General features: G+C 45.9%; 2 long non-coding RNA genes and 1 other non-coding gene across 4 annotated transcripts, besides 3 other annotated features; 1 reads left to right on the top strand and 2 right to left on the bottom strand.

Moving 5' to 3' along the window:
* Positions 1–387: 387 nt before the first annotated feature.
* LOC124907749 (uncharacterized) lies at positions 388–11,601 on the bottom strand. The gene is made up of 2 exons (XR_007086267.1): positions 10,761–11,601; positions 388–2,094 (listed from the first exon to the last, which is right to left on the bottom strand). It is a non-coding gene; the product is annotated as an uncharacterized LOC124907749 (long non-coding RNA).
* Positions 8,524–9,083: an enhancer, noted in NCBI's record as "H3K4me1 hESC enhancer chr2:30416411-30416970 (GRCh37/hg19 assembly coordinates)". NCBI's record gives its function as "activates a minimal SCP1, AML or CMV promoter by ChIP-STARR-seq in naive H9 embryonic stem cells {active_cell/tissue: H9 hESC(naive)}" and the evidence as "EXISTENCE:reporter gene assay evidence [ECO:0000049][PMID:30033119]".
* Positions 9,311–9,605: a silencer, noted in NCBI's record as "tiled region #12598; K562 Repressive DNase matched - State 5:Enh". NCBI's record gives its function as "represses a minimal TATA promoter and a strong SV40 promoter by Sharpr-MPRA in K562 cells {active_cell/tissue: K562}" and the evidence as "EXISTENCE:reporter gene assay evidence [ECO:0000049][PMID:27701403]".
* Positions 11,322–23,690, top strand: LOC105374414 (uncharacterized). Of its 2 annotated transcripts, none has more exons than XR_001739381.3 (3): positions 11,322–11,829; positions 21,150–21,427; positions 21,615–21,829. It is a non-coding gene; the product is annotated as an uncharacterized LOC105374414 (long non-coding RNA). The 2 variants fall into 2 exon arrangements; XR_939929.4 differs by lacking the exons at positions 11,322–11,829; positions 21,615–21,829 and adding exons at positions 22,111–22,378; positions 23,525–23,690 and having other exon boundaries at positions 21,340–21,427.
* Positions 11,705–12,403: an enhancer, noted in NCBI's record as "H3K27ac-H3K4me1 hESC enhancer chr2:30413091-30413789 (GRCh37/hg19 assembly coordinates)". NCBI's record gives its function as "activates a minimal SCP1, AML or CMV promoter by ChIP-STARR-seq in primed H9 embryonic stem cells {active_cell/tissue: H9 hESC(primed)}" and the evidence as "EXISTENCE:reporter gene assay evidence [ECO:0000049][PMID:30033119]".
* On the bottom strand, positions 15,062–15,194 carry SNORA10B (small nucleolar RNA, H/ACA box 10B). The gene has a single exon (NR_145719.1). It is a non-coding gene; the product is annotated as a small nucleolar RNA, H/ACA box 10B (small nucleolar RNA).
* Positions 23,691–26,227: the final 2,537 nt, after the last annotated feature.

Genomic DNA, 26,227 nt, shown 5'->3' with positions numbered 1-26,227 from the left:
GAATAATATGATATGCATATGTATACATTTATAATATATAATGGAAAAATATGTGAAAGAAAAAACCATAAATATTAACAGTCCCTATCTGTGGATTATTTAATTATAGTTTTATTTGTTTCCTTATTTAATCTTTTCTATATTTTCCATGTTTTCTTGTCAGAATTTAAAAATATACTTGATAGGGGAGAAATGTTTGTTTGAATAAAAGGGACACAATTAAACTCCATCAATCAGTACCCATCATGAAGGGTACAGGTGACTCCATGAATTTGCAGAAAGAATTTTGAAAAGAACACTAAGAGCCCAGGATATCAGGCAGACGTAAAATCTAGCTTTTAGTGTCTCCCCCATATCAGTTTTGGTTGCATAACAAAATCATGTGACTAAGAACAACAATAATTTATTCAGTTCCTGATTCTGGGCTTAGCTGGGAGGTCCTTTCAGTCTGGGCTAAGCTTGGCTGTTGTTCCCTGGACACACTCACTTGTCTGGGGCCTCAGCCAGGATGATCTGGGGCCTCTCTCCATGTAGTGTCTTTTCTTTTAGGCTTGTCCCATGTGGCAAAACTAGATTTTAAGAGAGAACTGAAGCTATAAAGTCTCTTGAGGGCTATGCTCAAAACTGGTGAGCTGTCACTTGCATGGCATTCCAAAGCAAGTCACAGGCCAGCCCAGACTCAAGGGGTGAGAAATAGACTCCGTCTCTTGACGGGAGAAGCTTAGGGTACTTCGACCTTGTTGGCAGATTACAATATTCTTGTTCAGTGAAACTCCATTTCCATGAAAATAGCTCTTGATAAGATGAAAGTTTTTAAAAAACGTAATGTCAAATCTTGAAATCATCTGTGGTAACTTATACCTAAATAGTATTAGTCTGTGGTTGTCACCTTTTCTTTTTTTAACCAAGCAGGGCCTAGTCCATTAGTGCTGATGGATTTGTTACATGAGTTAAAGTGGTGTGTATATAAAATATTTGTAATAGTGCCTGGCAAATACTAATCACTATCAAAATATTAGTTATCATTATTGTTAATGTTGATTTTTATACATAATCTGTGGTGAACTCAAATTCTAAACGGAGTTTGGGGTAGAGAGGGGCTATTTCTGCTGCCTGTAAGAAGTGCATCCCTGGCCGGGAATGGTGGCTGATGCCTGTAATCCCAGCACTTTGGGAGGCCAAGGTGGGCAGATTATGAGGTCAGGAGTTTGAGACCAGCCTGGCCAACACAGTGAAACCCCGTCTCCACTAAAAATACAAAAAGTTAGCTGGACATAATGGTAGGCACCTGTAATCCCAGCTACTTGGGAGGCTGAGGCAGGAGAATTGCTTGAACACAGGAAGTGGAGGTTGCAGTGAGCCAAGATTGTGCCATTGCACTCCAGCCCGGGTAACAGTGCAAGACTCTGTCTCAAAAAAAAAAAAAAAAAAAAGAAGTACATTCCAATAACCCCTGCTCTCAGCCACGTTTGGAGACGCTCAGATGTCTATATGCATTCTTGGCTCCATTCCCTTCCCGCAGGGACCAGGTTTTTGCTGGGAATACAAGTCTATCCTCAAAGAGATTTGTGTCTATAGCAAGACAGCCCTCCGCCTGGAGCCCTGGATTTTTACCCACACCAGCACACACTTGCATCATTTGCTGCTAGCCCTAAAGGCAGGGAAAGACATGAGCAGTAGAACTGAAGGGGCCAGGGAGACCTCCAACCCTGCTGTACACTTGTGTAAGCTTGGCCACATTCCTATGGGAGAGGCTATCCTTACGTGAGTTTGGTGCCTATGTACATCACTTTAACCAGAAATACTAAGGAATTTTCAGAATTCCCTTTCTTGTACTGTTCTAGGCTAGGGTTGGCCATAAGAGGAGTTCATGAGATTTGGAAGTGGAAGTGAAATAGCAGCCATTTCTATGCTCTGAAGGTTGATGTGGGCTCAAGCACACAATTGCTGGTCTCCTGGCCACCTTGTGAGCGTGAAACAGCAGCTGAGTCCACAGCCCTTATTGGTCTTGTCGAATCTTCTGCTTCTCCAAATCCTGGGCCAGCTTGTGCAGCTCTGTGGGGCACCAGTGAATCCTGCAGGTCACTTGCATCACTGAAAGAGAGTGAGACAAATGTGAGTTCCAGTTTGTCCTCCAGGGTCCCAGTTTGTCTTCATGGGTTCTAATCTAGTCTTACTCTCCCCCTCTTCACACTCATCTCTCCTTTCCAACTGCTGGCTCTACTGACTTAGGACCAACACTGGACATGGCAACAGCTGCATTGGGCAGACTGTTGAATCAGCTCCCACAATTGTGTAAGGTCTAATTCCCCCAAATGTCTTCATTCTATATCACTCATAGTGGCTCTTCCTTTTCGATCAAACCCCAGTGGATATATTGAGGGGCTCAGTGACACACAATGACACATAGTGTCAGGCTTTGATCCTAAGACACTCTACAAACCCATCCTCCCTCCATGATAGTGCCACCATGTCCTCCTCTTTTTAATCTTTGGCTAACTTATTCTACCACAAAACTGGCCCAGTTTCTGTAGCAAACCAATAGGTTGGAGAAAAATTGGAGTGAAGAATGGGAGAGGGTGGACTGCTAGGTTATAAGAGAATTAAGAGACAGAATCACCAAATGCAATGTGTAGACCTGATTCAGGTCCTAATTAGAGTAAACCATCTCTAAAGGGATATTTTTGAGATAAATGGAAAACTTAATTAGAGTGTAGATACGAGATAATATTAAGGAATTCCTGCTAATTTTGGTAGGTGTGACAATGACATTGGGGCTCTGTAGGAAAAGTTCTCATTTTTCAGATGCATACTGAAATGACACAGTGCTTAGTGCTTTTTTCTTTTCAGCAAAGATAAAAAAGGATAAATGAAGTATCTTAAGTCTATTTGGGCTGCTATAACCAAATAGCATAGACTAGGTGGCTTTTGAACAACAGAAATCCATTTCACACTGTTCTGGGGGCTGAGAAGTCCAAGATGAAGGTGCTGGCCAACTTGGTGTCTGATGAGGGCCTGCTTCTTAGTTCATAAATGGTGCCTTCTGGCTGTGTCCTCACATGTTGGAATGGGAAGGCAGCTCTCTGGGGCCTCCATTAAAAGTTTCCAGTCTGCTAATATCAACCCAATAGAATGGTATTAAGAGGTGGGGCCTTTGGAAGGTAAGATTAGGAGATTATCACCTCCCAAAGGCCCCACCTCCTAATACCATCAAACTGATGATTAGGTTTCAATGTGTGATTTTTGGAGCAACACAAACATTCAGACCATAGCAGGAAGAAAATCTGGATCCCCTTTGATAATTGTTGAATCTAGGTGATGGATAATGGAGGTTCTTTTGTGACTCAGTCGATTCTTGTGTTTAAATCAGGCAATTCTCACAGTGCTGCTCTCTCTGGCACATGGTGGGGTTTGGGTGTAAGTTGTTAATCATCTCAGTTGATTCCCTGCCCGAGAACAGAGTAGGGAATTAGGAAACCCTGGTGTTCAGGATGACTTTTCCCAGCAGCATATTGCTTTATGTCTCCTTTTTCTGAATGTTTTCTTCAGGAAATTGGTCAGAGGAATTTGGTTTATGGTGTGTCTCCTGCCTAAGGCCTCTGCCTAAGGCCTCAGAGGATGCAGCCAGCAGGCACCATCTATGAATCAAGAAATAGGCCCTCATCAGACACCAACTCTGCCAGCACCTTGATCGTGGACTTTCCAGACCCCAGAACTGTGAGAAATAGATTTCTGTTGTTCAAAAACCACTCATTTATTATCTTACAATTCTGGAGGTCAGAAGTCTGAAATAGGCCTTACAGGATAAAATTAAGGTGTCAGCAGGGCTGTTTCTTGCTGAAGACTCGTGTTGCCTGGGTGCCCCCATGAAGAGGAGACTGAATGTGCTGCTCCTGGCTAAGTTGTTAAGGATTCACGTGCAGGATTTTCTGGGGTCCATATAGAGCTGTGGTCTCCACTCCCTTCACCTCAAGAGCAGACAGCTTCTCAAAGAGTCTCAATGTACAAATTCAAATTTTGTGGGTTTAAATGCGTAAAGACCTAGATTTCTGCAGATCAAGAGTCTGTGACTTCTAGACCTATAGTAGAGAATGGTTAGGGCCATTACAATGAGGTGGTTCCCAGGGCCAGGACTTTGAGGGGCTCTTACTCAGAACTCCATGCCAACAAACAAATGGCTCCATTCCACTCCTGGCCACCTCCCTCCCCAACACTAAATTAACAAATATTTATTGAATGTATATACTGGAAGTGACCTTAGATAAATAGTAAACCTTTTTCTTTTTTTTTTTTTGAGACAGAGTTTCATTCTGTTGCCCAGGCCGGAGTGCAGTGGCACGATCGTGGCTCACTGCAACCTTCACCTCCTGAGTTCAAGCAATTCTCATGCTTCAGCTTCCTGAGTAGCTGGAACTACAGACATGCACCACCATACCCGGCTAATTTTTTGTATTTTTAGTAGAGACAGGGTTTCACCATGTTGGCCAGGCTGGTCTTGAACTCCTGACCTCAGGTGATCCTCCTGTCTTGACCTCCCAAATTGCTGGGATTACAGGTGTGAGCCACCATGCCTGGCCATAAACTTTTATCTGAAGATGTGGAAACTGGGGTCTAGAGAGGCTTGGCAGCCTGCCCAAAGCCACTCTGGTGGAAATTTGCCATTTTAGTCAGCTGCCATCTGAATACCTTCCTATCTGGGGGATTTCTGAGATAACCCAGAGACAGGGTCCCTGCTGCACCTTGGAAACTGGAAACTGTGTTCTCAGCCCTGGCACCTACTGTGTGGGCACTTGCCATGTGAGGTCAGTCCAGACCTCCCGCCTGAGTCTTGAGGGGGCGAGATGAAGGTGTGAAGTGAGGTGGGATCTGGCAGCAGTTGCACATGTCCCAGGGAGGGGTGCTCACCGAGGCAGTGGCAAGTGTCCAGTAGGGGCAGCGTCCTGAGCAGGCCACTCCTGGGGCAGGGCTCTGCTGTGTCTCCCTGCCTGAGCCAGTTTCTCCAGCCTCCCCGGCAGTTCTCAGCTGCTTGGAGCCTTCTGTATTAATTTCCTGATACTGCTCTCCCAAATTTCCACAAACTCAGTGACTTAAAACAACATATATTTATTGTCTTACAATTCTGGAGGTCAGAATTCTGAAATAGGTCTTACAGAGTAAAATTAAGGTGTTGGCAGGACTGGTTCTTGCTGAAGTCTCTAGGGCGAAACCCATTTCCTTGCCTTTTCCATCTTAAAGGGGTTGTCTGCATTCTGTGACTCAGGGTCCCTTCCTCCATTTTCTTTTCTTTTTCTTTTTTTTTTTTTGATGGAGTTTTGCTCCTGTTGCCCAGGCTGGAGTGGAGTGCAATGGCGCGATGTCAGCTCACCGCAACCTCTGCCTCCTGGGTTCAAGCAATGCTCCTGCCTCAGCCTCCCGAGTAGCTGGGATTACAAGCATATGCCACCACGCCCGGCTAATTTTGTATTTTTGGTAGAGACGGGGTTTTTCCATGTTGGTCAGGTGATCCACCCACCTCGGCCTCCTAAAGTGCTGGGATTACAGGTGTGAGCCACGACGCCTAGCCTCTTTTTTTTTAGCGGCTGAGTTTTGCTCTGTCGCCCAGGCTGGAGTGCAGTGGTGCAATCTTGGCTCTCTGCAACCTCCACCTCCCGAGTTCAAGCAATTCTCCTGCCTCAGCCTCCCAAGTAGCTGGGATTACAGGCGCGCACCACCACACCCGGCTAATTTTTGTAATTTTAGTAGAGATGGGGTTTTGTCATGTTGGCCAGGCTGGTCTCGAACTCCTGACCTCAGGTGATCCACCCACCTTGGCCTCCCAGAGTGCCGGGATTACAGGCGTGAGCCACTGCACCTGGCCTCCTTCCTCCATTTTCAAAGCCAGCAGTGCAGCATCTTCAAGTCTCTCTGACCTCCACTTCTGACGATGTCACAAGTCTTTCTCTGACTCTGACCTTCCTGCCTCCCTCTTCTAAGGACCTTTGTAATTATATCAGACCTAACCAGATAATTCAGGATAATACCACCATCTCAAGATCCTTAATGTAATTACATCTGCAAAGTCCCTTTTGGTAACATAACACATTCACAGGTTCCAGGCACTAGGACATGGATATCTGTGGGGGGACATTATTCAGCTGATGACACCCTCCAGAATTTCCTCATTCTATTTAAGAAAACCAAGAATGGTTTCAACTTTTTACAGCAGAAACCCTTGACTAGCACAGTCAAAAACTCATAAGTGTTAGTGCAAGGATGGAATCTGCTTTCTTTGAAGAAAACAGAAGCCGCAGCGATTGCGCTTGACATTGAGCAGTCTTTCCCAGTATGGTGCAGCCCTGTTTGGCTCCCTTCGCCATGAATCTCTCCACCCAGCAAGGGGTTTTTGCTTGCTCAGTGTGTAACCACAGAACAGGCACGTGATCAGGGTTTCTGGAAAGCAGATATGAGAAACATGAAGGAAAACATTAAAAAAAAAAAAAGTTCACACCCTCCAAGTCAAGAATTCCCCTTTCAGGAATCTATCCTAGAAAACAGAGAGGCTGGGCACGGTGGCTCACACCTGTAATCCCAGCACTTTGGGAGGCCGAGGTGGGTGGATCACCTGAGGTCAGGAGTTTGAGACCAGCCTGACCAACATGGAGAAACCCCATCTCTACTAAAAATACAAAATTAGCTGGGCATGGTGGCGCATGCCTGTAGTCCAAGCTACTCTGGAGGCTAAGGCAGGAGAATTGCTTGAACCTGGAGGTTGCAGTGAGCTGAGATCGCGCCATTGCACTCCAGCCTGGGCAACGAGAGTGAAATTCTGTCTCAAATAAAAAAAAAAAAAGAAAGAAAAAAGAAAATAGAGAATAAGAATGCACCATCATACACCCTGCTGTTGATATCACCAAGGCCAGGGCCCTAGAGGCTGCCAGAGGCAGGTTCTCCCCACCACAACCAGGGAGGTGGGCCTGCTCCAGCCAAGGGTCAGCGCTTGTCCTGTGTGTCAGAGCACTTTAGAGGAAAAACCAAGTTACCCCAGGAATGGAGGGCTGATTGGATGGGTGCAGGTGCACAAGAACCCAGGGTAACGTGGCTGAAGCCTCAGACCTTGGAAAGGAAGGAAAGGAGAAAGGCAGCTCTAGCGGTGGTTCCTATTTTCTCTCTCTCTCTCTCTCTCTCTCTCTCTCTCTCTCTGGGTCTCTCTCCAGCCATCTTCTCTGTTCTCCACCCTATCACAGGCTTCTTCTGTTTCTCAGGCTAATACAACCCAGCATAGCTGTCCAGCCCTCGAGGCTACCTGACCTTCTATCTCAGGTCTGCACAAACTGGCCAGTTTCTCCTCTGTCTCTTATTCTTGCTCAGTAGTTGAAGTCAAGCCTCAGTATCTGTGGATCAGCTCGTGGTTGGCCCCCAGTCGCTGGCTGTGGCCTGGGCAGGCAGGGTAGGTGGCCTGATGCTCGCTGATGGGGGAGTTGCCCTCCAAGTGTGGTCTGTGGAGAGGGCAGCAACATTACTAGAGGTGCTTGCTATAAACTGGGATTTCAGCACCCCCCTTACCTCCCTTCAGACCTACAGAATCAGACCCTCTGCAGGGTGAGGTTTGGGAACCTGGATTTAAATAATCTCCCCAAGTGGTTCCTGTACATGATAAAATTTGAGAAGCCCAGAGAGTAGAGTGGTCCTCCTGACTATTTGTGTTCAAATCTGTACTGTCTCTGGCACTAGCACTCTTTGGGCGAGGGACTTGTCTCTTGCCTTTTTTCTATCACCAGACAGAGTTGAGGGCCATGGCCTACGCTGCTTCCCCTGGAAAGCAGATTCCATCCTTGCACAAACACTTACGAGTTTTTGACTGTGCTGTATGAAGGCTTGACTCCCACACTGGCTGCCTACCTTCAAGCCATCATCCCCCTTGGTGTCTGGCCAAGTGGCTGCCAGTGGCTGTCTGGACGAAAGGGCAGCTGATCCTCCAGCTGGTGACAGAGGTCAGGAGTGCTCCCTACTTGAGCAGGATGGCTACAGTGCGTCAGGGAAGCTGTCCCCGGGCACCCACACTGGGGCAGCAGTGGCCTCTGATGGACACACAGGCAGGAGAGGCCACCTCTAGGTTAATCCAGGTTTCCTACTGTGATGGATTCAGCCCACTGGAAACAGCTGGAAGAACTGAGAGACGCATGATGGATGCAAAAACTCGAAGTCACAATGGGCAAGAGATCAGGCGAGTCTGAAAGGGCTGACGCACCTTTGTTCTAAGGAATTCAATTCAAGAGACACTGCGAAAATGTTTGTGTTGGGCTGCACATAGGGATGAGGACTGAGGCATGCACTAGGGAAGCCTGAGTTTCATCCTTCGAATTCTTCGCATCCTTGCTGAGGAGCAAGGCCCACAAATGTGTATCCTTCCTTGGGGACGGGCTCCTAAGAGCTGGCCACATCTTCTCTCCCCCATTATAAAGAAGACGAAACTGAGACCCAAAGAGGTGAAGGCCACTAGGTCAAGAGCCAGGCTGCATTAAGCGCCATGGGCACGGAAAGGAAGAGGACGCTGATGAAGGCAAGTGTTGGCTGGGGCAGGGGCAGAATCTAAGCTGGGCTTAGAAGAGGAACAGGAGGAAGGACGAGAGCACCATCCAGGTGGTACAGAGAGAAGGAAACAGGACCTGGGGACCCTGGTGCTCACTGAAGGGCAGGAAGAGAGACCTGAGGGGAAGGCTGGCTACATAATTTGATGCAGATGCAAAAAAAAAAAAAAAAAAAAAAAAATACAGAGCCCCTGCTAGGTCAGGAAAGCATTTTCACCTTCCCATGGCCTGCCAGCTGCCATCCAAGCCAGAGAGGCCAGGTGACCCCCAAGGGATGACAGCTTCCACACTGGGATGACTTGGTAGCTGCATCGGGGGTGGAGGGAGGTTCTGGCTGAGTTGCTTGTGCCAGCCCTGAAAGAGGACAGCTGCCGACTTGCCTCATCCCAAGATGTCACAGCGTGTGTGTCTGACCCTAATCCTCCCATGCCTGTGCCCAGAAATGTGGGTCTGTCCCTGCTGATGCGACCTGGTCACCACCCTGGGCAGAGGATAGCAGTGATGGCAGGACAGGAGCGTGGAGGGGAAGGCCAGGCAGGGCTGGAGACCAGGAGGTGGGGAGGAGGGACCTAGGGAGGCAGCAGGGGGAGGGACAGGGAATGAGATGAGGCTCCGTTGTGAGTCAGACTTCACTTACAAAGCACAAATTCAAAGAAAGAATTACTAAGAATTTCAAGATAGCCACTGCAGAGCATTCAGTCCTGAGCGCAGGGGGCCCTGATGAGTGTGGGGCCCTGGGTGGCTGCTCTGGTCACACACGTGTCCATGAGGCTGGCCCTGCCTGGGTACTTCGCCTATAACCCTGGCTCCATCCTGGGGGCCTCCCCTGCCGGCTTCTGGGAAGGCACAACTAGTTATAACCAAAGTCACAGCCCAGTGAAGAGGGAACAGAGGTGGCGAAACCAGAGACCAGCGCAGCTGTGCATGGAGGAGGCGCCCGCTGCGGGAATGCAGTGGAGATGAACAGAAAATGAAATGATATGAGATAGCCACCAGGAAGAAAAATAACTCTTTCTATTTTTCCTAATTGAATATCTTCCACGAGTGCTAAATGATTTTTTTTTTTTTTTAACAGAAAGCTCTATTTTGATTTTCGGTCCTTACAGACTGTTATTTGACTTTCAAAACTACATCAGTACCATAAAAATGAGTCATTGGATGGTTTAAGTAAATCTTTTTGGGGAACTGTAGAAATATTTTCTGTTGGTGAACACTCTTTGTAATCCTAGTCTAAGGAATATTTACAGGACTATAAATTTGTGATGTTTTCTTAGTTTTAAATGTCAACTTACAAAATAGAGGACTTTTGTATATATTTAAAAAAGCTGCCTATATTTATAAAGTACTATTTTCATCTATTGTTTACAAATGCCTTGTCATTTGACAAATATATAGTGACATGTATCTACCATGATGGCATCATACAGAATAGCTTCATGGCCTAAAAATTCTCTGCTCTGCCTATAAATCCCTCCCGGGCAACCACTGATCTTTTCACTGTCTCCACAGTTTGCCTATTCTTACATCAGTCCTGTGAATGAAGGGGCAGGGAGAGAACCAATGGCTGTCGAGAGCCTGCTACACTGCAGACAGTGTAGTGCACCCACAGGCCTGGCTCTGTGACCTTGAGCATCAAAACTCTCTGCTCCTCAGTTTCCTCATTTGCAAAATGGGAACCATTTAACCTCTCATAGGTAGTTATACGAGCGGGGCATTGTATATGAAATGATATAGTGAGTGTGGTTGGCACCAAGGAGGCATTCGAACGGTAGCTTTTAATGAAGAAAATTCTCCCCTAAAACCTGCACGAGAGGCATCATGTCTCTATTCACTAGCCCAAGCAGGTCTGGGTGGGTAGAGGCGTCAGGGACCTTGCCTGGTCCACCCTCCTCTAAGCCTGGGTTGCCACTGCTGCCCACACTCTCAGTGACTACGGCAGGAACTAACGTCCCCACTTCTCACGTAGGAATGGAGCCTCAGAGGGTCTAAGTGATAACTCAGGGTCCCACTGCTCATAAAAGAAGTGAGGTTATCTTCAGGCTGTCAGTCCAAAACTAAAACAGGCACATGAAAGGCTTAGCACAGCTCCTCGTAAGATAACAAGGAGGTGGGAAAGATAAGGGGCAGAGAGAAGTGAGGAGGCACCCTCTCCGCCCCAGCCCCTGTCACAGTTGCCCCTCCCCCTGGCTTTACCTCCTCAAAGGCACAGGGTTCTTTTCAGGGCCTCTGTGACATTTCCCCTCCATTATCGCTGGGCTGCTCTGCTGTTCAATTCCATAGCCCTGGGATTACTGGCTCTTCTATCCTCAGCAGGGTGTCCTGTGACCCTCCGGGCACTTTCATTTCAGGGTGACATTGCCACACAGATCTGCTCAAAGAAGTTCATGCTCTTCCATGTCAAGGAAAGCAGGCAGTGGTTCCTGTTCATGCCAACAAGCGCGCCTCCCGCCGATCGCTTGTCAAACAAGACGCAGGGAGAGCATCTTTGTGTTTTCAAGCTAACAGGTACCATGAAGCAGCCAGCATTGCTTCTCCTTTTTCCTGCTGGCATCTCTCCTCCTACACCTGGCACTCAATAGAATCCTACTCACTGGGCACTGTTAGAAGCAAACAGTTTGATGACCAGAAAGGAGGAAGGCAGGCAGGGCGCGGTGGACTTGCCAGATTGGCTTCTTTCACTTGGTTAATATCCCCACTTAAGGTGCCTCCATGTCTTGTCATGGCTTGATAGCTAGTGTCTTTTATTTTTTTCCTTGAGACGGAGTCCCGCTCTGTCACCAAGGCGGTAGTGCAGTGGCGTGATCTCGGCTCACTGCTGATACGGCTCCCATGAGTGGAGGGACACCAGGGCTCTTGTCTTACCTTGAATTAGGTAAAACAACACTGACACACGTGGAGTGGTTTTAAAGAGCGGAGAGTTTAATAGGCAAGAAAGAAGGCAGAACTTAGAGGCTTCCCCTTACAGAGACAGAGGGAGGGGGGCTCCAAAGCCGAAAGAGGAGGGCCCCAAGTGTGGTGGACGCCAGCCAGGTATACATGCAGAGGCCGGAGGAGGCGATCTGATTTGCACAGGGCTTAGCGGATTGGTTTGACCAGGCATGTTTTATTCACGTAGCAGGGAAAAAGCTGGCCCTCCCTTCCTAGCCTTTTAATATGCAAATGCAGGGCGCTGTGACGTTCTACGCATGTGGGGATATGTGGCGGACGTTGCCAGGAACATGTGGGGCAAGGGCAAGAAGGCAGCAGTAACCGCCATGTTTGGGTAGGCCCAGTTTCTAATGGCCTGCATTTGCATATCAAAAGTTGCCGGCCCAGCTCTAAGAGCTGGGACTTCCCAAGGACCCTTTTTCCTCTCTATCTGTCTCAAATAATTTCTTTCTTTTTTTTTTTGAGACGGAATCTCGCTCTATCACCCAGGCTGGAGTACAGTGGCGCGCGATCTCGGCTCACTGCAAGCTCCGCCTCCCGGGTTCACGCCATTCTCCTGCCTCAGCCTTCTGAGTAGCTGGGACTACCGGCGTGCCCGCTACCAGGCCGGCTAATTTTTTGTATTTTTAGTAGAGACGGGGTTTCACTGTGTTAGCCAGGATGGTCTCGATCTTCTGACCTCGTGATCTGCCTGTCTCGGCCTCCCAAAGTGCTGGGATTACAGGCATGAGCCACCGCGCCTGGCCAGATAATTTCGTAATAACTCCTACAACACTGCAAGGTTCAAGAAATTCTGTTGCCTCAGCCTCTTGGGTAGCTGGGATTACAGGCACGTACCACCACGCCTGGATAATTTTTTTGTATTTTTAGTAGAGAAAAGGTTTCGCCATGTTGACCAGGCTGATCTGGAACTCCTGACCTCAGGTAATACCCCTGCCTATGCCTCCCAAAGTGCTGGGATTATAGGTGTGAGCCACCCCGCTCGGCTGTTCGTGTCTTTTTAGTGCTGAATGTTGGATATAAAACGCTTCAGGAATAAATGCTTGGTGCCGCGAAGTAAAACCAGCACGCAGGCAAAAGTTTAATTTTCTCAACAAGGCAATTTACTTCTGCAGACGGGTGCCACTTGCATTGATCAAGATGGCAAGAGCATAGAGAACAAAGGAGACCAGGGGGTTTTTATCCTTAATGCAGTCCCTATCTCTGTGTCACCCCCCCCCATGGGCTGGGGTCGGACCGCACAATCTGAGCTGACCCCATTGGCTACTTGTATATATTTTTCTAAATATAAAAGGGGAGGCGGAACGTGAGGTACAGAGGTGGAGTGTGTGAGACGTGCAGTTTTTGGGGGAACAATGGGTACAGGTAACCAAGGGAACAGACGTGAGTTATTGATTAGAGCTGACGGGAAGGGGGTAGGCTGTTTACAGTAACTAGGGGCAAGGAAGAAAAAGAAAGTTGAGTTTGAGAACAAAGGATAAGGAAGTTAATAGGCTAAACCCTTTGAAGACAAACTCAGAAAGATTTATTGTATCTTATATGAATAATATTCCATTGTCTGAATGTATCACCGTTTACCTATCCATTCACCTCCTGAAGGACATCTTGGTTGCTTCCAGGTTTTGGCATTATGAATAAAGCTGCTAAAAGCATCCATATGTAGGTTTTTGTGTGGATGTGTTTTTAAGGTACCTCATTCTTAGAAGGTATGAGGCAAAGAGGGAGATCAAGGATTTTTCATACATTGTAAAATAAATAGGAGATGATTCCATGACTTATGATAGCTTTTTCTGAGATCTTGAGACCAGAATCACTTTTTAAAATTGGCAATAGAAAAAATGACACAGAGTTTCCTCCTCTGAAAGGCTTTCTTTGACCATCCTTCCTTCCATTCAAGCTCCAGAAACCTCCAGACCTTTCTCAAGTCAGGATCATGGCTTCTGACTGTTCTCATGGTTCTTGCACTGTCTTCCTCACCAGATTGCAAGGACTTGAGGACAGGGAACTGCATCTTACTCATTTTTGTGTCCTCAGATCCTAGCAATTGTTCAAAAGGAGTTTAATGGATATATGCAGGCAAACAGGAATTTTGTCTTTCCCTTACTCTAGAAGCGAAACCTAAATTTACATCTGTATCTATAGCTGACTCAGTTTGTCTTTTGGTAGCTCTGCTCCATTGTTCAAAGGACTTTTAAGAACACATTCATTTTTACTAATGCTTTATGAGGCTGAAGGTGTTGTTATTCCTACTGGGATGCAAATTCCAAGGTCAACAGAGTAAGTCTTCAAGCCAGGAATAGAACCTGGGTCTTTTGCTCAAACCAATGCCCTCTCTTATCAGTGTCATCTCAGTTTTCTGTAGCATTGATAATGATGAAGGGTGTCCAGGGTCTTGGCGTCTCAAACAAATAATTGGACAAAACACACAAAGCAAAGAAAGAATGAAGCAACAAAAGCAGAGATTTATTGAAAACAAAAGTTCACTCCACAGGGTGGGAGTGGGCCTGAGCATAAGGGCCCAAGAGCCCCGTTACAGAATTTTGGGGCATTTAAATACCCTCTAGAGGTTTTCACTGGTGTACACTCTATGTAAATGAGGAGAATGTAGTAAAGTTACAAAGTCATTTAGTTGGTGTACGCCCTATGTAAATGGAGAGGGTATTTCCTGTCATAGCTGAAGTGTTTCTATTTGATTGAGTTCTAGGAAGTCAGTGTGAATTGGCTTTATGTTCCCTCCCTCCAGACCCCATTCTCCTGCCTCAGCATCACTCTCTAGACCATTAAGTTGTTACTGTCAGGGAGGGATAGGCTTCAGCCAACAGCATAGCTATTCTACAGCATGCAAGCCATTACTGTAGGTTAATTCCAGCCAAAAAGATGAATTGGCCAGCCTTGCTCCACATGGCATCATGAGGTTCAGGGGAAGAGGGACTCAGAGCCTGCTACCTTCCCCGAGCCCAGCCTGGTCCATTTCCTTTCCCAGAGTTCAGTAGAGTGGTTAGGAGCTGGGTGCTGTCCATGAGTTACCTTGTTTTATCCTCACAGCAACCGAGGTGCTGCTATTATCCCTGTTTTACAGTAATGAAGCCAAGGATCAACGAAGTTTGTTGGTTTGTCCAAGATCATCCGTCTTGTAAATAACAAAAACAAGATTTTACCTAGATCTAACAAACTCCAAGCGATGTATATTAGCATGGCTTAAAACAGTAGAAATATATTATCTTACAGTTCTAGAGGCTAGAAGTCTAAAATCAAGGTGTCTACAGGGTCATGTTCTTCCAAAGGCTCTAGAGAAGGATCCGTCCTTGCCTATTTTAGCTTCTGGTGGTTGCTGGCAGGCCTTGGAGCTCCTTGGCTTACAGACAGATACAGCATTCCATCTCTGCCTCCATCTTGGTGTGGCCTTCTCCCCTGTGTGTCTGTATCTCTGTGTCCACATTTCTCTCTTCTTATAAGGACACCAGTCATACTGGATTTAGGAAACACCCCAATCCAGTATGACCTCATCTTAACTTCATTACATAGGCAAAGGCTCTATTTTCTTTTTTTTTTTTTTTTAACCCAAAAATTGTCACACTCCTAGGAACAGAGAGGCCATTCTGGGCGGGTCTGTCGTGCATTAGGAGAGCCTTTCTCTGCCTCCCTGAAAACACGCCAAGCACACACTGGACCCGTGTGGTTAAGCAGAGCTGAGAGACCATGGCTATGCCCCATGCGTGGACCACCTACCTACTGAAGTTGCCCAGGGTGGCAGTGCAGCCCCGGGCTGAGGTGTAGCAGTCATCGATACCACAAAGGCTCTATTTTCAAATATGCTCACATACATAGGTTCCAGAGGGTAAGACCTGAATACATCTTTTGGGGGGAGACAATTGAACCTATAGCACCATATTTTCCCTATTATATTTGCTGCTTCAGATGAAAGATCATTAAAACATCAAATCCTTCACTCTCAGACATTATTTGTTCTTAGTTTTGCTTGAAGACACTATTGTGTGGTGGACAGAAACAAGCCTGGTTCTTGAGCTGTGGGCTGTAGCTCAGCTCTGCTAATCACTGGAAGGGACTACTCTCATTTGCTCCCCCAGGGCCTCAGTTTCCTCATAATTAATATATAGAAGTTACACTAGATGGGTGATAAGGTCTTTCTCCAGCCCTAGATACTGATGTGATGGACTACAAAGGCTATAAAGACAAAATATCATACAGCACCTCTCTCTGTCCAAATTACAGCTATTTTAACCCCATTTGATAATATTTACTTAGCACTAGATATCCATCTCTAATTATATTGCTTTTTTAACTCCTCAGGGACAATGATCACACCTGGCACCTAGTGTGGCCTGAAGAAATGCTTGTTAAATAAACAATATAATAGAGTGATAGGAACTCAGGAGATAGGGAATTCGAACGTTGAATTATGTTGGCTTGCTCACTGAGTGCTGCATGGGTTTGCCTTGTTTTCCCAAAGGGAGTGTAAGCTTCCGGCCAACAGAGCTGTCCTCTGTTCTTTACAATGCCTGAGATAGGGCTAGAGAAAGTAGAGGTGCAATACATAGTTAAATTCCCCACCCCTTATTCGTTTTTACATAAACACATACATGTGATCCTATCATTCCTGCTGGCTGTTTTTCATGGTTTTCTTTTGTTTGGTTCCACCTTTCATGTCTCCTCCATCCTCTTCAGCACCCACCACCACCCAAAATCTTGCTGGGTAGTTGATGTTAACAACCTGGTATGTTTCTTTCCATATTTTGCTCCGTACATGCAGACTCATATGGGCACATATACATGTACAGAAGTATTCATGTACATAAGAGGAGGGTTGTTTGTCATTGTTTTATACAATAGGAGCATGTTACAGATGCTTTAAAGGCTGAAGTATCTTGCTTTTCTCAATCAATAATACCTGGTGGAAATCCACCCAAGTCCATTGATGTAACTCTAATTTGTACTTTTAATGGACGCACAATATATCATGGTGTGAGCATACCGTAATTTATTCAGTGACTGCCTAGCAGATGGGCAGTATTTGATTTATTGATCACTTGCTCTTGAGGAAGAGAGTTGCTGAGAATTTGCTGATCTTACTGCCAAAGTACACTCCTTGTCCCCATTTTACCGCCATCCCTCTTCCCCCTTCCCCACCCAGGTGTTCACATGAGCCTGCCAGCACTTGGAGTTCTGATTTCTCCCACCCAATCTAAATCCACTTGGTTCTCAATGTTTCATCTTTAATGGGATCTGAGGCTTTTAAAAATGGAATCCAGACTTTCTGGGCTGTTTCCAAAGGAGATAACTTTTTACTTAATGGCATCAACCCCGGTAATCCTGCCTGAAATCTAATCAACACATCAGACAAGGGAAGAGAAGGCTGTGTCTGGAGTGAAATGGAAGGCGCCTTCTATAATAAGATGTGCCTCCTCTTGATTAAGAGCCCTGAAAGGAGTGGAACAGGGAGAGAAAATTTTTCAAAGTCCCTTCCTCGTACGGAAAGGTAGCAGAGCCAGTGGCCAGAACCCTGGCCCGGGAGTCAGGCCTCTGAGCTGAAGCTGTCTGCCTGGGGTTCTTCCCAGAGCCTCCTGTCTTCCAGGGCATCAAGAGAGCAGCAACTTCGAAGTTTCTTATTTATTTTTAGAAATTTTTATTGTAAAATATACCATCTATACATAAAAGTACAGTATTGCATCACTTAACCATGGGAACAGAGTCTGAGAAATGTGTCCTTGGGCAATTTCATCGTTGTGCAAACATCAGGGTGTACTTACACAAACCCAGATGTTGTAGCCTACTACACGCCTAGGCTGCATGGTAGAGCTTATTGCTCTGAGTCTACAAGCCTGGACGGAATGTTCCCATATTGAATATGTAGGCAAGTGTAACACAATGGTAAGAATTTATGTATTTAAACATATATAAACATAGAAAAGGTACAGTAAAAATACAGTGTTATAATCTCATGGGACTACCATTGTATATGTGATCCATCACTGACCAAAATGTCCATATGCACTGCATGACTGTATATAAAACCTAAATGTTGTGAAGAGCTTAATGGATTACTGTAAGTGATCATCTGTGCAACCACCTCCAGGTCAAGAAACCTGCAGAACACCATCTGGACTCAAGGAGCCCTATCAGGCTTTTTCCTGATTATAACTCATTCCTTCCTCACTAAAGACAGTGGTATCCTGACTTTTATGAGAACCACCTCTTTGCGTTTATTTAAAAAAAAATAGTGTAGCTTCTTTTGTGTAATTATATATATATATATATATATATATAAAAATATGTAACTTTTGCCTTTTCTTATTGAGTTATACACATACTTGGCATTTTCAGTCTCTGTAACCTTTCTGATGGGCATATAGTGGTACATTATTGTGGTATTAATTTGTGTTTCCTCTCAGCGGCATTGAATCTTAACATGTACGACTTAAAGGGCCCTTAAAGACTATTTACTTTAATCTCTCCCTTCGGAGGAGGGAAAAAACCAACAGCACAGATGGAGAGAGGAGTGACTTCCAGTGTCTCCCGGTTAGTTGGCATCAGAGCTCAGTGGAGAAGCGCAGGAGAGCTGCCATCTGATCCGGGAGTGTCTTGCAAGGGTTATGCCTTACCCTCTTCTTTACTCCACTCGCCCAAGACAGCCAGCCATTTGTGTATACCCTATGCCTGTAGTCTGCTCATCCACTTCTAGCCTTTGGCTCCAGACTGTGGGACTGTGGGTTCCAATCCAGACTAACAATTTATTAGCTGTGAAATTTTGGCCAATTCACTGTGATGGTTAATTTATGTGTTAGACGGGCAAGGCTGCAGTGCCCGATGTTGAGTCAACAGTGTAGATGTTGCTATGAAGGTATTTCCTAGATGTGGCTAACACAACCAGTAGAGGCTGAGTCAAGCAGATTACCCTCCATCATGTGTTGAGCGTCATCCAATTATTTGAAGGCCTTAAGTAAAGCAAAGACTGAGGTTTCCAGAAGAAGAAGGCATTTCCTTCAAGACTGCAACACAGAAACCCTGCCTGAGTTTCCAGCCTGCTGCCCTGCTGAATTCACACTCTAGACGGTAACATCAGTTCTTATCCGAATTTTCAGGCTGCTGGCGTGCCCTATGAATTCGGGACTTACCAGCACCCACAATCACGTGAGCCAATTCCTTAAAATAAATCTTTCTCTTTCCTGTTGATTTTGTTTCTCTGGAGAATCCTGACCAATACATTCACTTCATCTTTCAAGCCTAGGTTTGCTCATCTATAAAATAGGAGATAAAATCAATCTTGCAAAGTTGTTGTGTGGATCAGATACAATGCATATAAAATCCCTAACAGATATTTAATGGGGATTTAATAAATGGCTATTTCTTTACAACACTAATTTACATTAAATAGAGAAAGTTATGTGTGCTCAGGTTGGAAAAAAAATTAGTAAAACAAATGGTATAAAATGAAAAATTAGGCTGGGCGCGGTGGCTCACACCTGTAATCCCAGCACTTTGGGAGGCCAAGGCGGGCTGGTCATGAGGTCAGGAGATCGAGACCATCCTCACTAACACGGTGAAACCCCGTCTCTACTAAGAATACAAAAACTTAGCCAGGCGTGGTGGTGGGTGCCTGTAGTCCCAGCTACTGGGAGGCTGAGGCAGGAGAATGGCATGAACCCAGGAGTAGGGGGTTGCAGCAAGCGGAGATCGTGCCACTGCACTCCAGCCTGGGTGACAGAGGGAGACTCTGTCTCAAAAAATAAATAAATAAATAAAAATAAAACGAAAAATTAGTATCTCTTGTAGCTCAGAGAAAACTACTTTTTTTTTTTTTTTTTTTTTTGAGACAGAGTCTCCCTCTGTTGCCCAGGCTGGAGTGCAGTGGCGTGATCTCGGCTCACTGCAAGCTCTGCCTCCCAGGTTAACGCCATTCTCCTGCCTCAGCCTCCTGAGTAGCAACTACGCCCAGCTAATTTTTTTTTTGTATTTTAGTAGAGACGGGGTTTCACTATGTTAGCCAGGATGGTCTCGATCTCCTGACCTTGTGATCCACCCGCCTTGGCCTCCCAAAGTGCTGGGATTACAGGCGTGAGCCACTGCACCCAGTGAGAAAACTACTCTTAATGGTGACTTTTATTTCTTCTAGAAAATTTATATGCAAAAACCTAATACAAATGGAAGCATGCTATACCAACAGTTTGGAGCCTTCATTTTAGATAAAAATATGTAATGCTTATAAAATTATCTGCACAAGGCCCAGACTCTGAGCAGTGTCCTGACCAGAAACATCCACAGCAACCAAAAGTTAATCTAGAGAAACTCAAGTTGGTCATTGTATTTTTTGAACCACATATAGGATTTGTCTTAGAAAATCCTTTCTCTGGTGGCTGGGCGCGGTGGCTCATGCCTGTAATCCCAGCACTTTGGGAGTCTGAGGCAGGCAGATCACCTGAGGTCAGGAGTTTGAGACCAGCCTGACCAACATAGAGAAACCCTGTCTCTACTAAAAACACAAAAAAATTAGCCAAGCGTGGTGGCGCATGGCTGTAATCCCAGCTACTTGGGAGGCTGAGGCAGCAGAATCACTTGAACCTGGGAGGCGGAGGTTGCGGTGAGCCGAGATTGTGCCATTGCACTCCAGCCTGGGCAACAGGAGCGAAACTGTCTCAAAATAATAATAATAATAATAAAATAAAATAAAAATCCCTGACGGATATTTAATGGGGATTTAATAAATGGCCATTTCTTTAAAAACACTAATTTACATTAAATAGAGAAAGTTACATGTGCTCAGGTTGGAAAAAAATTAGTAAAACAAATGGTATAAAATGAAAAATCAGTATCTCTTGTAGCTCAGAGAAAGCTACTCTTAATGGTTACTTTTATTTCTTCTAGAAATTTTCTATGTAAAAACCTAACACAAATGGAAGCATGCTATACCAACAGTTTGGAGCCTTCATTTTAGTTAAAATTATGTAATGCTTATAAAGTTATCTGCACAAGGCCCAGACTCTGAGCAATGTCCTGACCAGAAACATCCACAACAACCAAAAGTTAATCTAGAGAAACTCAAGTTGGTCATTGTAGTTTTTGAACCACATAAAGGATTTGTCTTAGAAAATCCTTTCTCTGGTGGCTGGGCGCGGTGGCTCATGCCTGTAATCCCAGCACTTTGGGAGGCTAAGATGGGTGGATCACTTGAAGTCAGAAGTTCAAGACCAGCTTGGCCAACATGGTGAAATCCCATCACTACTAATAATACAAAAAAATTAGCCAGGCATGGGGGCACACGCCAATAATCCCAGCTACTCGGGAGGCTGAGGCAGGAGAATCGCTAATAAAAATACAAAAAATTAGCTGGGCATGGTGATGCGCCTGCAAACCCAGCTGCTCAGGAGGCTGAGTCAGGGGAATCATTTGAACCTGGGAGGTGGAGGCTGCAGTGAGCCGAGATCACGCCGCTGCACTCCAGTCTGGGCAACAGAACAAGACTCCGTTTAAAAAAAGAAAGAAAGAAAATCCTTTCTCTTGGCTCACACCTGACTCCACTTGGCTCCACACCTGAGCTGACCTGCGTTTCCTCCTTCAAAATTCCCTAAAAAACTTCTCTCTCAGTGTGGGTCCTGCTTCCTCCTTTCTTTCTCTTGCTCATTCTCTCCTCCCCCATAGGAAAAGCTCCAGAAACTCCCCTAGCAAGGCTGGATCTCTCCAAGCTTCAGAAAGAGGAAGACAACTGAACAGGCAGGGCTCGCATCTTCTTTAGAGGCGGTGGAGTTGGGGGACAGCTGGTAACAGGATAGATAGCAACAACCACCTTGAAGATAATGCACGAAGTGTCGGCACTGCACAGTACATGAATGATCTCACTTAACTCCCGTGCAAACCCTATGCCATGGCTGCTATTATCATTCACGTTTACAGGATGAGGAAACTAATGCTCATGCAGGGTGAGTAGTTATGTTAGGGCATGTGTAATTTAGATAGCTAGTGTGTACAGAGACTAGGGTAAAACCTATGACAGTAGAGAGATTCCTGCTTACATGCTAGTAGGTTTTGTCCAGTCCCGCTTTCCCCCTGTTGACTTTTCTATGGACCTTCCCAAATGTCTAATGATGCCTCCTATTATATTTACAGGTGAAAGCCTCCCTTCCCTACATCATAATCATCAGAGCATATTTAATTCCTCTCTGGGAGGGAGCCCTTTGGGAACTGCTGGCGGGAGCCTAAATGAGTCCTCTTACCTCCTTCTTACGTGCCTAGGCTGGAGGTGGCATGGCATCATAAAAGCTAAAGTCTTAAGGTCTTTCAATCTGTATCTTCTTCAAATTTCAGCATCTTAGTTTTGCAAAGAAAACGGAATATGAGAGCAACCTTAAATGCCCTTATTTGTCACCCTTAAATGTCCCTATTTGTCAAAATCCATGTAACTATGAGGCCTATGGTGGTTTTAAAATAGGTCCACAAATTCTTTAACCCTTCTCCCATCTAAAGATGGAAGCTATTTCTCTTTCTCTTAAATATGGGTAGGACTTAGTGTTATGTATTATAACAAACATAATGGGGCAGAAATGATACTCTGTGACTCCCAAGGTTATAAAAAGCATGAAGTTTCTGCCTGGCCCTCTTTCAGGAGCCTGGCCCTTGGACAGCCACCATACTCTGCAGAAGCCCAGGCTGCGTGGAGAGGCTGACGCTGGTGTCTGGCCAACTGTCCCTGCTGGGCCTTCAGCCTGTAGTCAGCATCAACAGTCAGGCGTGTGAGTGAATGAGTCTTCAGATAATGCCAGCCCCAGCCTTTGCTTCTTCCAGCCATGACCCCAGACATAGTGGAGCAAGGACAAGCCATCCTCACTGTGATGTGCCCTGTCTGAATTTATGAGCCATGGAAACTGTGAGAGGTAAATTATTATTGTTTTAAGCTACTAAGTGTTGAGGCAATTTGTTAGGCAGCAAATAGACAACTAATACAAAGCCATTTCCAACCTCTTGAGTGAATGACTGGAGCACAGTTTTCTCATTTATTGACTATTCTGCTAGATGGAAAGCAAATTATAGACTCCTGTCCAATGCTTGACATTCCTGGGCCTAGGACCCTGCTTGTCTACACCCACTAAGACCTGGAGTATCAGGGACCTGCCTTGGTTTCAATGGAGGCTTGCCTGGACCCTTCAGATCGGAGCTCCATTTGTCATCCTGCTTCTTTCTGGCTGCTAGAGTTGCTTCTCTTCTTCCTCAGCTCCCTGGTACTCATGGTAGATGGTGACTGAGCAGAACAATGGGAGCCGATACCTTGGTTTATTCATCTCTGCTGCATACCATTTGCTATGGTCTGAATGTTAGTGTCTACCTACAAATGTATTTGTTGAAATCCTAACACCCCAGATGATGGTATTAGGAGGTGGGGCCATTGGGAGGTGATTAGGTCATGAGCCTTCATGAATGAGATTGATGCCCTTACAAAAGAGACCCAGGGGAGCTCTTTCACCCCTTCTGCCATGTGAGGACACAGTGAGAACACCATCTGCAACCCAGAAGAAGCTCTCGCCAGAATCTGACCATGCTGGCACCCTGATCTCAGGCTTCCCAGCCTTCAGAATTGTGAGAAATAAATTCCTGCTATTTGTAAGCCATCCAGTTTATGGTATTTTGTTATAGCAGCATGAACTGGCTAAGACTCCATTGCAGCAGGAACTCAGTGAGGGCATGTGTGGACCTCCAAGCCTTGCTTGTAGGTCCCAGGCAGAAAGCACCCTGCAATAGTTACAGGAGATGTCAATGTTCCCCAAGTCCCTGCTGTAAGGTTATGAATTCAGCATATCAGCCCCAATTGCTATCTATGCTGCCATATGCTCCTTTGAGAGTGGTGAAGGAGACCTGCCCAGAAATGCTCTCCCACGTGGCTCTGGGACTGCCAGCTCCCCTTTGGGTGGGACCTTGCAGATGCTCATGTGGGCAGCAGCATCTCTGCTCTGGAGCCTGTTCAGCCTTGTGTTATTTCTGGGGCATGTTCTAACCCTTTCCCAAACATGTTCTCTGTTCCCTAGCACAGGACTCGCTGCTAGTCCTTCTAATTTCCAGCGGAAAGCAGTCTGTTTTGACGCTTCCCAGGTGTTCAGTCCCATAGGAGCAGCTGAGTCCTCAAGGCAGCAGCCGGTAGGCAGGCAGTTTGCCGTCCTTGAACCAGCCTGACCATCTGACTGTGCTACTGCAAGGGAGTGTTAGAGACTTTCTCAATTTGGTGACTCATACTCATCCTCCACTTGGAACATCCAGTTCTGAACCTTGCCGTCTCCCAGAAATTGTCATTCTAGCCTCAGCCTCATCTCTACAATGTCCTTTTGGCTTCCCAGTGATGTTCCAGGAAACTTGTTCATGCCGGGTCATCTGTCTCCCGTTTCAGGCAGCCAGCATGGAAATGGAATTTTGGCTCCCATCCAGGGGGATGATTTTAATTCAGGATGCAACTGGGCGCTGCCCTTTGACTTCAAAGCCACCCACGTGGTACAGATATAGAGTGGTATAAGGATTAATGAAATACGGTGTATCGTTCTACTTCATTTAATGGCTGCATCATGTACCATGTATGTACCATAATTTGTTTAACTAATCCCCTATTGAAGAACATTAAGGTAATTATTATTGTTATTAGATGAGCAGCTGAACCTTGGAAACACACTCTTAAATGCTTTCCTTCTGAGGAAAATGAAGGAGCTGGCTGTTTCTTATCAAGAGGATCATGCCCCTTGGAGATGATTATGCCCCAGCCTGAGACACGCTGATATCCTCACAGGCTGTTCCCAATGGGAGGGGGCCACTCAGGGGCACTGGGGTGGGAAAAGATTGGCTGTCGCCACACCCTTTAAGGAATGGATTTTCCAACCAAGGACAGTGAAGGGCAAGCCTCTAAAATGTCCACTAATGAAAGAGTAACTACAATGTTCTTGTATGCTGCTCTGATTATCATCATCCCCAGAGCCTTCCTGTACCCTGCCATGGACTGTGTCTTCCTGGAAGTGCTTGTGGTTTGATGTTGCCTCCTTGCAGATGTTCAGAAAGGACTGCTTGCTGGAAAGGAGAGAAGCTGAGAGATGACCACATTCCTCCTGGATTAATATGGGCTCCGGTGGCTCCTCCCTGTGATGTGCCGTGCTCCGTGCCTTGGGACCTTACTATGTCATCAAAGGCAGCCACATTTATGCAGACATAAGGGAAGCCAGAATCTACAAGAACCGTCCCTCCAGGAGGGAAACACTCCACTGAACAGTGTCAAATGGACCTCTTCAGAACCTGGACTCGATGGGGGACCACAGAGAGACAGCCATGGAAGCAGAGGGCAGCTGCCAGCAACTATTGCTGCCATGTGCCAAACACGGTTCTTAACATCTCACGCCTCAACTCTCTTTAATCTCATAACAACCCTATGAGGTAGGTGCTGTTGTCCCCATTTTGCAGATGAAGAGGCTGAGGCACAGGAAGATTAGACACCCATCCCAAAGCAAGAACCCGATGGTGCTGGATGTGAACCCAGGCACTGTGACTCAGGCTCCTACCACTGCACTGAGTGTCTTTCAATGTAGTTGAAGTAGAGGTGGTCACAGCAGAGAGCAGTCAAGAGGAGACAGAAACTGAGAGATGGATACAGAGCTTTGTGATCAGCAGGGGACTAAGGACATCCATTTCTGAGGGGACAACAAAGTGACCAGGCCACCATAATAACCCTGAAGGACAAGAATTTTGTTCCTGTGCACCGGTGGGTAGTGGGACATCTGAATGGATGGCTTCCCAAGCTCTGCAGCCTCAGGTAACAGGAGCCAGTCTTTGTTTCCTGTGGCTTGGAAGAGCCTAACTTGTTTTATTGTTAATTGTGCAGATAATCATTGAGTTAAATGGTCACAGAGAAAGAAAAAAAAAGGGATGCCCAGGCGTGGTGGCTCACGCCTATAATCCCAGCACTTTGGGAGGCTGAGGTGGGCAGATAATGAGGTCAGGAGTTCGAGACCAGCCTGGCCAGCGTGGTGACACACTGTCTCTACTAAAAATACAAAAAATGAGCTGGGCATGGTGGTGCGTGCCTGTAATCCCAGCTACTCAGGAGGCTGAGGCAGGAGAATCACTTGAACCCCAGAGGTGGAGGTTGCAGTGAGCCAAGATTGCACCACTGCACTCCAGCCTGGGCAGTAGAGGGAGACTCTATCTCAAAAAAAAAAAAAAAAAAAAAAAAAAAAAAAAAAAAAAAGGTTAGGGTAAGTAAACCAACAGCTCCAGGGCCCAGCTGAACAGCAGATCAAAAGACAAAGGAATTCCATATCTTGGGACTTTTAAAATTGGACCACACCACCTTGGCGACTACAGTAGTAGTCTGTGCATCAACAACTACCAATTATTTTCGATTACATTGTGTTTCACAGTTTCAATAGTTGTTCATGTCCTGTATTTACTTAATTGTCACGTCAGCCCAAGGAGTCATACCAGGTAGGTATTGCTATCTCCATTTTACAGATAAAGAAGCTGAGGCCCAGGGAAGATGTGAATTGCAAAGGGTCTTGCAACTAGGGAGCAACGAAGCCAGAAAGAGAACCAACACATCATTTTCATTCTTAGTTCCAAAGTACCAGTAGGACCAATGGGAGCCGGGTTATGTTGGCTCATGAGACACAAGTGTGCACACCATTCCCAACTCCACATTTAGGGATATCACTTTGGTAGCCTGAAATCAGTCATGGTAAGATTATTTACACCATGGGAAT

This window comes from Homo sapiens, chromosome 2 (genome assembly GCF_000001405.40).
Source record: "Homo sapiens chromosome 2, GRCh38.p14 Primary Assembly".
In the NCBI taxonomy this organism is placed as follows: Eukaryota; Metazoa; Chordata; class Mammalia; order Primates; family Hominidae; genus Homo; species Homo sapiens.
This window is presented reverse-complemented; position numbering and strand designations above follow the sequence as displayed.